General features: G+C 53.1%; 1 protein-coding gene across 7 annotated transcripts in view, besides 3 other annotated features; it reads left to right on the forward strand.

Moving 5' to 3' along the window:
* Positions 1,871-15,967, forward strand: part of LRP5 (LDL receptor related protein 5) — a 150,864-nt gene continuing 136,767 nt past the window's right edge. For all 7 annotated transcript variants that reach the window (XR_001747874.2, XM_011545031.2, XM_011545029.2 and 4 more), the window contains exon 1: positions 1,871-2,457. Coding sequence is in view for 6 of the 7 variants with exons in the window: in XM_011545031.2 (XP_011543333.1) it covers positions 2,340-2,457 (118 nt within the window). In the remaining variant the exon portion in view is untranslated. The remainder of the gene's footprint in view (positions 2,458-15,967) is intronic.
* Positions 2,200-2,947: an enhancer, noted in NCBI's record as "H3K4me1 hESC enhancer chr11:68066209-68066956 (GRCh37/hg19 assembly coordinates)". NCBI's record gives its function as "activates a minimal SCP1, AML or CMV promoter by ChIP-STARR-seq in naive and primed H9 embryonic stem cells {active_cell/tissue: H9 hESC(naive and primed)}" and the evidence as "EXISTENCE:reporter gene assay evidence [ECO:0000049][PMID:30033119]".
* Positions 3,697-4,444: an enhancer, noted in NCBI's record as "H3K27ac-H3K4me1 hESC enhancer chr11:68067706-68068453 (GRCh37/hg19 assembly coordinates)". NCBI's record gives its function as "activates a minimal SCP1, AML or CMV promoter by ChIP-STARR-seq in naive and primed H9 embryonic stem cells {active_cell/tissue: H9 hESC(naive and primed)}" and the evidence as "EXISTENCE:reporter gene assay evidence [ECO:0000049][PMID:30033119]".
* Positions 15,675-15,964: a silencer, noted in NCBI's record as "silent region_3667". NCBI's record gives its function as "represses an Ori minimal core promoter by ATAC-STARR-seq in GM12878 lymphoblastoid cells {active_cell/tissue: GM12878}" and the evidence as "EXISTENCE:reporter gene assay evidence [ECO:0000049][PMID:35858748]".

Here is a 15,967-nt window from a genome sequence, read left to right on the forward strand (position 1 = left end):
AGGCCAGGCGCTTCACCTCTCTGAGCCTCAGCTTTACAGAATGGGTTGGTTACAGAGCTACCTGCTGGGGTGCCTGGGTGCTCAGTGGCTAGCACAGATCTGCAGATGTCCAGTCTCTGATGTTGGCCAAGGGAAAATGTGCCCGCCTGTAAAATTGCAAGCAGACCAGGAAGCCTCGGTCCTGAGAAGCTGTCCCAGTCCTGAGAAGCTCACAGGCTGGGGGGACTCTCAGAAGCAATCATGCAGGGAAGTGCTCAGCAGAGGCAGAAACCCGGAGGACGGGCTGGGCAGAGCCTCACAGGGGCCCTGACTCTCAGCTGGGTGGAGAGGCAGGGCAAAGTATTCAGGGTACAGGGAGTGGCACTGCGAGGCACAGCGGCACGAGGGTGACAGCAGGCCCAGGGAGGGCTCAGCAGGAGGAAAGCTGGGCTGTGTTAAACCAGGAACAGGAGGAGGTGCGAATGCAGTCACCGGAAGCAGGTCCGATGAAGAGGCCTCGAAGTCCACCCCACAGAGTCAGGACTTAACTTTGCACACAATCTGCCAACTTGGGTGGCAGAAGTTATTCCCACGCAGCAGTGCCAGGCTTGGACGAGGACTCACCCAGGTGGTAATGAGGGCCCTCCTTCGAGCTCAGGCCAGGAAGCAGCAGCCCTGACCACCGCTGCTAACCCAGCCTGGGGCCCTCTGTGTCCAGTAATACTTCATATTTGCTACCCGGTCATCTTACTTAATTCCCAGCACAGCCAAGCTAGGCAGCTATCATTATTCCTGCTGGCACAGGTTAGAAAACTGAGGTCTCTGCTGGGTGCGGTGGCTCATGCCAGTAATCCCAGCACTTTGGGAGGCTGAGGCAGGAAGATCCGGTGAACTCAGGAGTTTGAGACCAGCCTGGGCAATACGGCGAAATCCCGTCTCTACAAAAAAATACAAAAATTAGCCGGCTGTGGTGACACATACCTGGGGTCCCAGCTACGCAGGAGGCTGAGCTGGGAGGATCACTTGAACCTGGGAGGCAGCAGTGAGCCAAGATCGTGCCACGGCACTCCAGTCTGGGCCACAGAGCAAGACCCTGTCTCAAAAAAAAAGGAAAAAAGGAAAAACAGGTTTCCAAGGGTTCAACAACCCGCCCAGGGCCATGCAGTGAGCGGGAAGAAGGGTGGAACCGTGTCCAGTGATCTCGGAGCCCACGTTCTTTCCCTTCATCTTAACAGCATCCAGTGTGTGCAGCTGCCACTCCCCTGGCCACGTCCATCTTCCACGTCCTCCCACGCAGCCCCCTCCGCCCTCCTCCCCGAGTTTCTTCTTCTTGGCCTGGGACGGATACTGAGCGCCGGAGAGAGCCCGGCCGGGCGGGACGCTGCTGCCCCCTCGTGGCCGCACGTGTTACCGCAGGCGGCCCATGGTGTCTGGGTCACTCTGGCCCTCCCGGGCTCAGCCTCTTCCAAGAACGGCCAGAGGGTTGTGTGGGGAGCAGTAATAACGAGGTTCTCAGCTCCACGCCCTGCTCGCCGAGGAACCTCGGTCAAGTCACTTGCCCTCGCCTCAGTTTTCCCCTCTGTCTAATGGACATACATTAAGACCTTGAAGGGCTATTAGGAGAACTTAATAGGCGAGTAGGGGCTCAGGGGTGCGCCTGGGGAACCTAGAAATGGGGCTTGAGAGAGCTCACGCTGCAGCTTCCGGCTCAGCGAGGGCAGCGAGAGGGCCTGTGATCTGTCCCTTTCCTTGTATGGTGAAAACAAAGTCCGGGTGCAAAGTCCGCTGCAGAGTTTGTTGACTTTGGGGCGAGGGCTCTGGCATCAAAGGCACTGCGTGCCCTGTCCACTGCTCCCGAGGCCGCCGCCCACTGTGATCTTTGCTCCAGTGGCCATGGGATTGTTTGAGAATTACCAACATGTAGGGAAAACCTGCGATCCTGGCCTGCAGAGGGAGGGGAGGACCCCTTTTGCCAGGCTCCCCCAAACATTGAGCTCTCAGCTTCACCAGCTGCACCCCATGGGGTCTTCTTTGCCAGCTTTGGCGAGGGTCTGTTCCTCACTGCGCCAATGCCCCGGCATGTGATCTTTGGGCTCAGTGCCAGGCCCAGCTATCCTGCTGGCACAGTAGGAAGCCAGAAAAGCCCCTACCCACTCCTGCTAGAGCCTAGGGGCTGCTGTTCCCTCTAGGACTCCACCAGGGAGCAGGAGGGGCCTTCACGGGGCTGGTGCAGACCTAAGACCTCCCACGCTTGCCCTCAGCCAGAGCCCTGAGACCCACACCCTCCTCTGCCACCTCCAGAAAAAGCCTCCGGTCCTGGGCACCTTTGATGACTTCCTTTCCCATCCGTGCTGCTGGAGATGTCTACACTAGGAACTCACTGGGATGGAGCTGTGTCCTGCAGGAAGGGCGGGGTGAGAGCCGGCCAGTGTCTGAGCTCCAGGAATGGCAAAGAGGAAGCTGCACAATATTTCCCAGGTCAGAGCCCTCCTTAGGGACATCCGCCGTCCCGATCTTGCCCCTACAGCCTCTCTACCTGAAAGTCCCTATCCCCCTCCACACTCCACCAACCAGCTGCCCCTGGTCCCAGACTTGGACGTCCCAAGTCCATGCACACCCCTGCCTCCCCTCGGAGCTCCCACCACAACTTGTGGATGGGCACAGTGGGCAGGGCCTGGAGGCCCCACCCTGCTGTGAAGCTGGAGGGAAGGGGCACGTGGAAGGGCAGTGCTGGATGCAAGGGACAGCTTGGGGACTGGAGGGGCTTGGGTGGAGGCTGCTGGGAGAGGAGTAGCAGCTCAGGGGGAGGCTGGAGGTGGCTCAAGGGGACAAAGGAGGGGCCCAGCGTGCTGAAGGCTGCAGAATCTAGAAGACAGATGCAGCGGGGAATGGCCTTAGCAGGAGGTGAGGGCGGGAGGCAGCCAGTGTAGACAGTGGGGTGGAGTCCTCAGTGTAGATGGCAGGGTGGAGTGCTCAGTGTAGACAGCAGGGTGGAGTGCTCAGTGTAGACGGGGGTGTAGAGTGCTCAGGGACCCTGAGGAAGAGCTGAAGGGGAAGGGCCAGTCTTTTTTTTTTTTTTTTTTTTGAGACAGAGTCTTGTTGCCCAGGCTGGAGTACAGTGGCGCAATCTCAGCTCACTGTAGCCTCCAGGTCATGGGTTCAAGCGATTCTCCTGCCTCAGCCTCCTGAGTAGCTGGGATTACAGGCACCCACCACCACACCTGGCTGATTTTTGTACTTTTAGTGGAGATGGGGTTTCACCATGTTGGCCAAGCTGGTCTCAAACTCCTAACCTCAAGTGATCCGCCCGCCTCAGCCTCCCAAAGTGCTGGGATTGCAGGCGCGAGCCATCGCGCTCCGCCTTTTTTTGTTTATTTGTTTGTTTGTTTGTTTTTTGAGACGGAGTCTTGTTCTGTTGCCAGGTTAGAGTGGAGTGGCGCGATCTTGGCTCACTGCAACCTCTTTCTCCCAGGTTCAAGCGATTCTCCTGCCTCAGCCTCCTAAGTAGCTAGCCACCATGCCCAGTTAATTTTTTTTTTTTCAGTAGATACAGGGTTTCACCATGCTGGCCAGGATGGTCTCAATCTCTTGACCTCATGATCCGCCCACCTTGGCCTCCCAAAGTGCTGGGAGCCACCCCAAAGTACAGGCATGAGCCACCGTGCCTGGCCAGGCCTTTGTTTTTAAGAAGGGAGAATCCCGTGGCGTTTACAAGCTGAGGAGATGGAGCTGGCCGAGGATGAGTGAGCTGGAGGGCTCTATGCAGGGGTGAGGGCCTGGAGGAGGACAAGGGAGGGGATTAGCCTGGGTTCAGATCCCAGCCTGGCCACTTCCTCGCTGCATGACCCTGGGCAGGGCCATCCCTGTTCTGGCCCTTGCTGTCTCTGGAATTGGTTTGGAGGAATCAGGGGCATTAAGGTGGGACATTCTGCCTCCATTTTGCTTCAAGTACTGAAGGCCTCAGACAGCAAAATAGATGCCCCTGCCCAGGACTCCAAGCTTCAGGGGGCCCCACTTCTGCCCCCATGTGGCCCAGGGGATATGCCCTCAGCACCCAAACCCTCTTTCCAGGCTTTGCACCAAGTACTTGGACCCCAAATTCCCTGCCCAAGCCGCAGAGGCCATACGGATGCCTCCCTCAGACCCACCACAGGGGGACCTCGCCCTTGGTGGGGGCCGGGGGAGGTCCATGGTCCAGCTCCTCTGTCACCGTGCTCCAGCACAGCACCTCAAGCAGTCCAGAAAGTTCTACATGGAGCCGCCTTCCAGGTGTTGTGGGATGTATCTGTCCAGCCAGGGAGATGGGGTGCTCTATTCCATCACTTGTTGGCTGATATATACATTTATTTTTTCTTTACAGTGACTATCCATTATTTTATTTTATTTTAATTAATTCATTAATTTATTTTTTTTTTATTTTTTTGAGAGAGAGTTTCGCTCTTGCTTTTGCCCAGGCTGGAGTGCAATGACGCGATCTCGGCTCATCACAACCTCTGCCTCTCGGGTTCAAGCAATTCTCCTGCCTCAGCCTCCCTAGTAGCTGGGATGACAGACGTGCACCACCACGTCTGGCTAATTTTTTTGTATTTTTGTTAGAGACAGGGTTACACCATGTTGGCCAGGCTGGTCTCAAACTCCTGGCCTCAGGTGATCCGCCTACCTTGGCCTCCCAAAATGTTGAGATTACAGATGTGAGCCATCCCTGTCAGGGCCACTGCACCCAGCCTCATAATTTTATTATCTAGATTCAAAATTTGTTAAGGTTTTGCTACCTTTGCCAGAAATGTAAATATTGAAGGTACATTGGGCTGAGTGCAGTGGCTCACGCCTGTGGTCCCAGCTACTTTGGGAGGCTGAGGCAGGAGGATTGCTTGAGCCCAGGAGGTTGAGGCTGCAGTGAGCTGTGATTGTGCCACTGCACTCCAGCCTGGGCAACAGAGCAAGACCCTGTCTCTAAAAAATAATAAATAAATAAAAATAAATGTGATGTTGCCAACAGCATGATGCTTTCCATGAGAGTTCAAAAGAGATCTCCTGAGAACATTCTGCCACAGAAACAGAATCATTTGTCACACCTGCAAAATACTAACAATTCTTATTTATTTATTTATTTTTTTTTTGAGATGGAGTTTCACTCTGTCGCCCAGGCTGGAGTGCAGTGGTGTGATCTCGGCTCACTGCAAGCTCCACCTCCCAGGTTCACACCATTCTTCTCCTGCCTCAGCCTCCCGAGTAGCTGGGACTACAGGCGCCCGCCACCATGCCTGGCTAATTTTTTTTGTATTTTTTAGTAGAGACGGGGCTTCACTGTGTTAGCCAGGATGGTCTCGATCTCCTGACCTCGTGATCCGCCTGCCTCGGCCTCCCAAAGTGCTGGGATTACAGGCGTGAGCCACCGCTCCCAGCCCACAATTCTTAATAGCATCAGATCTATTTTTAAGCAGGACATGATCAATCAGCCTATGTCTTTCATCTATTTTTGCCTGGAAAAATCCCTCTACCTTTTTGTAAATGGCATTGATGTGCTGAGGCATGGTTTAAGACTTGTGAGTGGGGCCAGGCACAGTGGCTCACGCCTGTAATCCCAGCACTTTGGGAGGCCAAGGCGGGCAGATCACTTGAGGTCAGGAGTTCAAGACCAGCCTGGCCATCTCATCTCTACTAGAAATACAAAAAATTAGCTGGGCGTGGTGGTGCCACCTGTAGTCCCAGCTACTCAGGAGGCTGAGGCAGGGGGATCACTTGAACCCAGAAGGCAGAGGTTGCAGTGAGCTAAGATGGCACCACTGTACTCCAGCCCTGATGACAGAGCAAGACTCCATCTCAAAAAAAAAAAAAAAAAAAAAAGACTTGTAAGTGACAAGCCCGGTCCTGGGGCCTGCTCTGTGTTCCTGTCCTGGGTTCCACCCATGCTTGCGGGGAGGGGGCCTGCAGAAGGAAACCTGACTCCACCAGCCCCAGAGTGACCAACTTGCTCCTGTTTGCTCCAGACTTTTGCAGTTTTATTCCTGAAAATGCCCCCTCAGTTCTAGGTAAACCAGGATGGTCGGTTGCCCTAGTTAGCCCACCATCCACCTTGAGAATCTAACAGCGGAGTGGGTGAGGCGGGAAGGAGAGAGAGGCTTGGGGACTTGTCCCTCTCTTGTTCATCTCAGGCCTGGCAAGAAAGGACATGTGTCCCCTGGAGATGGGTTGGGGGCATGACACACATGTCTGGTGTTTGCTCTGATCAAAGGCAAGGCTGTGGCTGCAGCTGTCTGGCGGGCCGTGGCGCTGAACAGGTGGCCTCGCTGGCACAAGCTGCCCTTCCCAGATGATCAGGAAAAGGTGTGTTCCCGGGGACCAGATGCTTCTGAGCAATGTCCAAGGTGCCCACAAGAGCCTGTGAGGGATGACTCAGCACTGGGAATCCATAAACCCACAAGGCCCCAGAGCCAGGTCATGGGGTGCTGGGCCTCCTGGGATGGCCTTTCCTACTCCCTCTGTTCCTCCTTGAGGAGCGGAGGCAGCTGAGGTGGGAGGAACACGTGCAGAAAGAGAGAAGGAGCTGGCCTGGCCTTTCTCCATGGTGGCAAAGATGCAGCTTTAAATAAACTTAAGTTATTTATGTATTTATTTATTTATTTATTGAGACAGGATCTTGCTCTGTTGCCCAAGCTGGACTGCAGTGATGTGATCACAGCTCACTGCAGCCTCAACCTCCTGGGTTCAAGTGATCCTCTTGCCTCAGCCTCCCGATTAGCTGGTTAAATGATTGTGACCAAAATGCTGACAGTGATATGGACAAGCCAAGGCCAGGGTGATGAGTCTCAGATGGAAATGAGGAACTTATTGGGAACTGGAGCAAAGGTCACTTTCGTTATGCCTTAGCAAATAATTTGGCTGTATTATTTTCATGCCCTAGGGATCTGTTGAAGTTTGAACATAAGAGGGATGACCCAGGACATCTGGGGGAAGACATTTCTTCCCTTCCTCCTTCCTTCCTTCCTTTCGAGATCAAATCTTATTCTGTCACCAGGCTGGAGTGCAGTGGCATGATCTGGGCTCACTGCAACCTCTGCCTCCCAGGTTCAAGTAATTCTCCTGCCTCAGCCTCTCCAGTAGCTGGGACTACAGGTCTGCGCCACCACACCAAGCTAATTTTTTTGTATTTTTAGTAGAGATGGGTTTCACCATGTTGACCAGGATGGTCTCGATCTCCTGATCTCGTGATCTGCCCACCTAGGCCTCCCAAAGTGCTGGGATTACAGGTGTGAGCCACCAAGCGTGGCCATAAATTTTGAAGCAGCAAAGCATTCAAGATGTGGCCCAGCTTCTTTGAATTCCCTATGCTCAAATGCAGGAGCAAATAAATGAATTAAAGTTAGAAGTTATATTTAAAGGTAAAACAGAGCATAAAAGTTTGGAAAATTTGCAGCCTGGCCATGTGACAAAGAAAGAAAAAGCTTTTTCAGGAGAGGAGTTCAAGCCGGCAGTGGAGTAACCTCTTGCTAGAGGATTTGCATAACTAAAAAGGAGCCGACTGCCAATAACTGAGACAATAGGAAATAGGCCTCAGAGGCAAAAAGGCCTCAAAGGCATTTCAGAGATCTTCCACAACCCTCCCATCACAGGCCCAGAGGATGAGGAGGAAAGAATGGTTTCATTGTCCAGGCACAGGGCCCTGCTGCTCTGCACAGCCTCAGGACACTGCTCCCTGCCTGCATCTAGACTGTTCCAGCTCCAGCCTTGGCTCAAAGGGCCATAGTCACAGCTCAGGCTGCTGCTTCAGAGGGTTCCAGCCATACACCTTGGCAGCTTCCATGTGGTGTTAAGCCTGTAGGTGTGCAGAGTGCAAGAGTGAAGGAAGCTTGACACCATCCACCTAGATGTCAGAGGATGTATGAGAAAGCCTGGGAGCCCAGGAAGAAGGCTGCTGCAGGGGCAGAGCCTTCCCATTGGAGGGGAAATGTGGGGTTGGAGGCCCCACATAGAGTCCCCACTGGGACAATGCCTAGTGGAGCTGCGGGACGGGGCCGCCACCATCCACACCCCAGAATGGTAGATCACCAGCAGCTTGCACCCTGCACCTGGAAAAGCCGCAGGCCCTCATCTCCAATCTGTAAGAGCAGCCATGGGGACTGAATTCTGCAAAGCCGCAGGAATAGAGCTGCCCAAGGCCTTGGGAGCCTGCCCCTTGCACCAGTGTGCCCTGGCTATGGGACATGGAGTTTAAGGAGGTTATTTTGGAGCTTTAAGATTGAATGATTGCTCTGCTGGGTTTTGGACTTGCTTGGGGCCTATAGCCCCTTTCTTTTGACAGATTTCTCCCTTTTGGAACAGGAATGTTTACCTAATGCCTATGCCCCCATTGTATCTCAGCAGTAAATAACTGTTTTCATTTTTACAGTCTTGTAGGTGAAAGGAACTCATCTTCAGATGAGACGTTGGACTTGGGAATGGGATTTTTGAGTTAATGCTGGGATGAGTTAAGACTTTGGGGGGCTACTGGGAAGGCATGACTATATTTTGCAATGTGAGAAGAACATGAGATCTGGGGGGCCAGGGGTGGAATGATATAGTTTGGATATTTGTCCCCCCAAACCTCATGTTGAACTGTAATTCCCAATGTTGGGGGTGGGGCCTAGTGGGAGGTTTGGGTCATGGGGGCAGACCCCTCGTGGCTTGGTGCTGTCCTTGCAATGGTGAGTTCTCGTGAGATCTGCTCATTTAAAAGTGTGCACACCTCCCTGCTCTCTCTCTCTCTCGCTCCTGCTTTTGCTGTGTGATGCACCTGCTCTGGCTCTGCCTTCCACGATGAGTAAAACTCCCTGAAGCCTTCCCAGCAACCAAGCAGATGCCGGCACCATGCTTGTACAGCCTGCAGAACCGGGAGCCAGTTAACCCCTTTCTTTATAAACTACCCAGTCTCAGGTGTTTATTTGTTTTTTATTTATTTTGAGACAGGGTTTCTCTCTTGTCTCCCAGGCTGGAGTGCAGTGGCACAATCTTGGCTCACTACAACCTCCTCCTCCCGGGCGCAAGTGATTCTCCTGCCTCAGCCTCCTGAGTAGCTGGGACTACAGATGCACGCCACCATGCCTGGCTAATTTTCATATTTTCAGTAGAAATGGGGTTTCACCATGTTGTCCAGGCTGGTCTTGAACTCCTGACCTCAAGTGATCCACTCACCTTGGCCTCCCAAAGTGCTGGGATTACAGGCGTGAGCCACCATGCCCGGCCTCAGGTATTTCTTTATAGTAATACAAGAATGGCCTAACACACTGCACAAGCCACTACCTCTCTGACTTCAGTTTCCTTTTCTGTAAGATGGGTTTGTGAAGATTAGGTACTGTATTAGTTTCCTGTGGCTGCCATAACAAATTACCACAAATCTGGTGGCTTAAAACAACAGCAGTTGATTATCTCACAGTGCTGGAGGCCAGAAGTCTGAGGTGGAGGTGTTGGCAGGGCTGTGCTCCGTCTGGAGGCTCTAGGGGAGGCTTCTTCCTACCTCTTGCAACTTCTGGGGCTCCAGGTATTCCTTGGCTTGTGGCTGCATGGCTCCAACCTCTGCCTCATCTTCACATGGCCTTTTTTCCTTCACTCTCCTCTTCTGTCTCAGATCTCTGTCTGCTTTTCTTTTCTTTTATGAGACAGAGTTTCACTTTTCTCCCTCAGGCTGGAGTGCAGTGGCGCGATCTTGGCTCACTGCAACCTCCGCCTCCCAGGTGCAAGCCATTCTCCTGCCTCAGCTTCCTGAGTAGCTGGGATTATAGGCACCCGCCACCATGCCTTGCTAATTTTTGTATTTTTAGTAGAGATGGGATTTCATCATGTTGGCCAGGCTGCTCTCGAACTCATGACCTTAGGTGATCCACCCACCTCGGCCTCTCAAAGTGCTGGGATTACAGGCTTGAGCCACTGTGCCCAGCCTCTGCTTTTCTTTTCTAAGGACCATTTGTCCTTGGATGCAGGGTCCACCTGGATAATCCACGATGAGCTCCTCATCTCAAGATCTCTAACTTAATGACACCCGGGAAGACCCTTTTCCTAACTTGGTTAACATTCACAGGTCCCAGGGATTAGGATGTAGATACATCTTTTTGAAGGCCACTGTTCAATCCACTGTATGTGTCTTTAAAACACTTATAAATGAGAATGAAGCCTGAATGTCAACTCCTTCATCTGCAGTGAAAAAATAAGACTGCTCTGTGGACCAGACTACTTAGTTTTATTTTTCACTGCAGATTATTTTTCACTACTCATGTGGGCCTGCCCAGGGCATTCTTTCCCAGGAGGCAAGTTATGTGGCAAGCAAAATGATCAGGAGAGTCAAACAAACAGCTGCAGAAACGGATGGACGATGACTGTCAGAAGGAGGAGAGAAGTGGAGGGTGACAGCCGAGGTGAGTGCCTGGCTCATTCATCCTCACTCCCTCTCTTGAATCCATGTTAATCACAATTTACATGAATGCAGTGCTTTAAAATTAAGGTATATAGAGAAACCCCATCTCTACTAAAAATACAAAATTAGCCGGGTGTGGTGGCGCATGCCTGTAATCCCAGCTACTCGGGAGGCTGAGGCAGGAGAATTGCTTGAACCCGGGAGGTGGAGGTTGCAGTGAGCCAAGATCTTGCCATTGCACTCCAGCCTGAGCAACAAGAACAAAACTGCAACTCAAAAAAAAAAGGTAAGGTAAGGCTTATGCTTATAATCCCAACACTTTGGGAGGCCAGGCCAGGAGGATGGCTTGATCCTAGGAGTTCAAGACCAGCCTGGGCAACACAGTGAGACCACAGCTGTCCCCCATCTCTATAAAAAATTTAGAAAAATTTTTTAAAGTGCTAAAATTACAGGCTTTTTTAAAGTGGTAGGATTATAGGCCGGGGGGTGGCTCATACCTATAATCCTAGCACTTTGGCAGGCTGAGGAAGGTAGATTGCTTAAGCCCTGGAGTTCAAGACCAGCCTGGGCAATATAGTGAAACCCCATCCTTCAAAAATATTAGCTGGGTGTACTGGCACATACCTGTAGTCCCAGCTACTTGGGAGACTGAAGTGTGAGGATCACCTAAGCCCAGGGAGGTTGAGGCTGCAGTGAGCCAAGAGTGCACCACTGCACTCCAGCCTGGGCAACAGAGTGAAACCTTGTCTCAAAAGAAAAAATTATCCAGGTGCGGTGGTGCATGCCTGTAGTTCCAGCTACTTGGGAGGCTGTGGTAGGAGGATCACTTGAGCCTGGGAGGTTAAGGCTGTAGTGAGCCGTAATCACACCACTGCACTCCAGCCTGGGTGAGACAGCTAGACATTATCTTAAAATAAATGAAAAATAAAAGTAAGGTAGAAAGAGTATTTTTAAAAGTCTTATTGGAGGTTCACATCAGCACTGAGAGATAAGAAATAGAGCAGATATCATGATTCCCACTTTTTGAATGCAGAAACTGAGGCCCAGAGAGGTGAATCCAGCCTGTGTCCTTCACACCCCAGCTGGCTCATAGAAACCATGGCCTGTTACCAACCAAGCCCTCCAGAGCCCAGCACTGTAGGCCGATGGCGGCCTTCCCTGGCCTGCTCCTGGGGCAGGTTGCTGAGAAGCATTGCCTGTTTTGGGGAGAGGCCTGCGGCAGCCTGAGGAATGAGCCTGGCAGTGGGCACTCTCACTGGGGCCTCCTCCGGCGCTGCCCTCAGGAAGATTCTGTGGCTCCCAAAGCCCCAGGGGCGCCTCTGACCACAGCAGTCAGTCCTGCCGGGTTGGGGGGGGCTCTTGTGCCCAGCGTAACTTCACAGAGCCAGCACGTTCCAGCCTGGGAGGGAAACCAAAAGGCACTTTGCCCAAGTGTCACCGGGCTGAAACGACATCCTCATGGGCCCCTGTCCCCGGAAGCAATGAGATTGGACAGGTGCTGAGCCCCTGTTACTTCATTGGGATGGACTTGCATCTAAGGAACGAACTGAGAGTGAACATTTCCAAATTTGAGGCCTAAGAAAAGTTTGTTGGCCTGATGAGCTGTGACAGGCAACCGTCTGGGGAAGTGGAAGCTCAGCACATCCTCCGGTTACTTATTACGTTACTGAAGGGTCTAAAAATGACTGTCCTTGGGGTGCTGGAATCCTGCAGAATAAAATAGTGCTGAATTTTAATTCATTCTTTGCAAATGAATGTTCTCAAGGCTCCGGTTGGAGTCAGGCACCCTGGGACCTTGCAGTAGTGTGCTTTGGGTCCCAGGCCACAGCACAGCCCCTTTCTTTTTTTTTTTCTTTTTTGAGATGGAGTCTTGCTCTGTCGCCCAGGCTGGAGTGTAGTGGCGTGATATCGGCTCATTGCAACCTCTGCCTCCCGGGTTCAAGTGATTCTCCCGCCTCAGCCTCCCGAGTAGTTGGGATTACAGGCGCCCGCCACCAAGCCCAACTAATCAGCTAATTTTTTTTTTTTTTTTTTTTTTTTGAGACGGAGTCTAACTCTGTCGCCCAGGCTGGATGGAGTGCAGTGGCGCAATCTCGGCTCACTGCAAGCTCCGCCTCCCAGGTTCACGCCATTCTCCTGCCTCAGCCTCCCAAGTAGCTGGGACTACAGGTGCCCGCCACCACGCCCGGCTAATTTTTTGTATTTTAAGTAGAGATGGAGTTTCACCATGTTAGCCAGGATGGTCTCGATCTCCTGACCTCGTGATCCACCCACCTCGGCCTCCCAAAGTGCTGGGATTACAGGCATGAGCCACCTCATCTGGCCTTTTTTTTCTTTTTTTTAGAGACGGAGTCTTGCTCTGTCGCCCAAGCTGGAGCATAGTGGCTCAATCTCGGCTCACTGCAACCTCTGCCTCCTGGGTTCTAGCAACTCTCCTGCCTCAGCCTCCCGAGTAGCTGGGATTACAGGCACATGCTGCCATGCCCAGCTAATTTTTTGTATTTTTAGTAGAAACGGGGGTTTTACCATGTTGCCTAGGCTGGTCTTGAACTCCTGACCTCGTGATCCACCCTCCTCGGCCTCCCAAAGTGCTGGGATTATAGGTGTGAGTCACCGCATCCAGCCCATAGTCCCTTTCCTCTCTGGGAGTCTCTGGTGGCCCCTTCATAATGCTTTTTTTTTTTTTTTTTTAATTCTTGGTACATTTTCTATGTAATCATTTCAATAACTGACTGTCCAGTAGAGTCTTTAGTTTTTCTGTATCCCTTCCCAAATTTAGAAACCTGACTTGAACTTTGGGCCAGTTGTAATGTGTCCTCTATGACAGGCCATCCTGGGCCCCCTTCCCTTTGTTCCTGTGGCTGGAGCCCTGAGCAGGCCCCATCCACTTGAGTCCAAGAGGCCCTCTCTCCTGGCTGCTACCATTGTACCCACCTGCTGGCCAGGCCCCCACAGGGGCCTCTTTCCTCCTGACAGTCTCATCCCCACTCAGCAGCCAGAGTGCCTTCTTTATAAATGTAGATCAGATCCTTTCACTGTATTTGTTCATCCAACACACATTTACTGAGCACCTACTGTGTGCTAGGCCCTGGTACGGGCACAGGAAACACATCAGGGAATAAAACTACACTCTCTGCTCTCCTGGAGCTTCCATGCTAGTGGAGAGAAGAAAGATACGTAAACATGTAATGAGTCAGGTGGTGATGAGTACAAAGGAGAAAAGTAAAGCAGAGAAATGGAGTAGAAAGTGCTGGCAATAGTGGGTGGTGGTGGTGGGGGGTGTGGTTTGCAATTTTCAACAGGGGTCCTCAGGCCTGACTGAGGAGCTGAAGAGGTAAGAGAGTGAGCCACGAGGCTAAGTGGGGTGAAAGAGTTGGAGCAGAAAAGGTGGGAGGATCACCAGGCATGATGGCCCCTCTCTGTAGTCCTAACTACTAGAGACAGGCTCATGCCTGTCATCCCAGCACTTTGGGAGGCCGAGGCAGGTGGATCATCTGAGGCCAGGAGTTCAAGACCAGCCAGACCAACATGGTGAAACCCTGTCTCTACTAAAAATACAAAAATAAGCTGGGCGTGGTGGCACATGCCTGTAATCCCAGCTACTTGGGAGGCTGAGGCAGGAGAATTGCTTGAGCCTGGGAGGCAGAGGTTGTGGTGAGCCAAGATTGCCCCACTGCACTCCAGCCTGGGCAACAGAGTGAGATCCCATCTCAAAACAAAACAACAAAAGCTAACTACTTGAGAGGCTGAGGTGGGAGGATTGCTTGAGCCCAGGAGTTTGAGGTTGCAATGAGCTACGATCACACCACTACACTCCAGCCTGGGCCACAGAGTGAGACCCTGTCTCAAAAAAAAAAAAAAAAAAAAGAGTCCCAGCAGAGAACAGCAAGCACAAAGGCCCTGAGGCAGGAGTGCACCTGGTGTGTTTGAGAACCCACAGAGACACCACTGTGGCTGGAGCAGGGTGAGATGTGGGAAGGGAGTGGCTAAGGAAGCTGAGAGGTCAAGGAAGAAGTGTGGTTGGAGCAGGCCCTGCAGGTGCCGAAGGCTTTTGCTTCTTTCCTGAGATGGCAGCCCTCACGAGCCCTGGAGCTTCCCTGGCTGCCATGAGATCAGGTGGAAGGGGGTCGAGGCTGCAAGTGGGGACGCATGAGTGGGTGACAGGTGGCAGTAGTAGAAGTGTAAGAAGAGCTGGGAGTCTGGGTCTCTTCTATCTTGAAAATAGAACCCCAGGCTGTGCTGGTAGAGCTGGATGCAGGGTGGAAGAAGGGAAAATATTTTTGCTGCTTAAATCCTAGCCTGGCTTCCCATTGCTCGTGGGGTGCATTCTCGATTCCTCTTCCCCGCCTGAGGTCTGACATGTGCTGGCCCTGGCTGGCCTCTCCTGTACCTTCTACCACCAGCTCCAGCTCATGGCCTGATGTGGTTCCTCCCCCGAATCCAGCGACCAGGCTGCCCTCTGCCCCAGCGCCTCCTCCGTGGATGTCTGCTCTTCCTGAACTGCCCTCCCACCGGACGGCTGCTCCTTGGTAGCAGCTCAAGTGTCCTTCCTTCCCTAAGCCAGTTTCCCCAAACACTGCAGCACAACGCCCTTCATTTCTCATGGCATTCTTCATGGCCTGTCAATGGGGCTTTTGTTGTTTTAATTTTCCGTCTTCTTGTTTTTGTTGGTCTTCCTAGAATATAAACCCCATGAGGGCAGAGGCGTTCAGCCTGACTCCAGCCTGGCAAAGCTGTCACAAATCTGGAGGAACACACACGTTCACGGGCACTCAGTTCTGTGAGGTACTGCAAGCCCTCTCTGAACCTGCAAGGTGGCCATTGCTGTCCCCACTTTACAAAGGAGGAAAGAGTGCGCGGAGAGGTTCTACTTAGACCCGCCAAGGGCACAGTCGTTCTAGAAAGTAGCAGACTGGGAGTTCCAACTTGGGCTTGCTGGTTCCAGAGCCCCTTCTGTGCCCCTTCCAGGCTGTGCCTGGGTGAGATTCTTCTCCTACCAGCACGTCTTCTTCCTGGAGGGTTCAGTGGCTGAGCTGACACCGGTGGGCAAGAGGCCCTGGCGGGCTTGTTGAAGGACTCAAAGGTGGCGTCTGGGAGCCTGGCGGGACTTTCTCCCTGTCAGCCTAGAGGCACTTTTAGAGGAGTGTGTCTGTTTCGCAGTCTTCGTGTCTCATAATTCATAACTAAGGTAGAGGGTACACATTTAGTTTACAGTAAAACCTCAAACCCACCTCCACTCCCAGCCGGCCACTTCTCTCCCTGTTCCCTTCTCTGCCCTCCACAGGTGAGAACAAGTGTCCGGGGCCGCCCCGTGGGGCCCCAGGCTGCCCGCCCTGAAACTGCCTCGCTGTGTGCCCTTGGGCAACCCCGCCCTGCTCCGTGCCTCAGTTTCCCCACTCATAGAGGCTCCACAGGTGACACACCTGGCTCCGGGCCCCGATCGGCCGCCGGGCCCCGCGGGGCGGAAACCCCGCGCCAAGCCTCCCGGAGGCACCTCCAGGGCAGGGCGGGGAGCGCGGGGAGGGGCCGCGGGGACCTGCGCCGCTGGGGCCGCCTGGCCGCCGGCCGGCTCCGGGGGGCGCCCGCGGGAGGGCGCGGCCG

The sequence above is a fragment of the Homo sapiens genome, chromosome 11 (assembly GCF_000001405.40).
Source record: "Homo sapiens chromosome 11, GRCh38.p14 Primary Assembly".
NCBI lineage: Eukaryota > Metazoa > Chordata > Mammalia > Primates > Hominidae > Homo > Homo sapiens.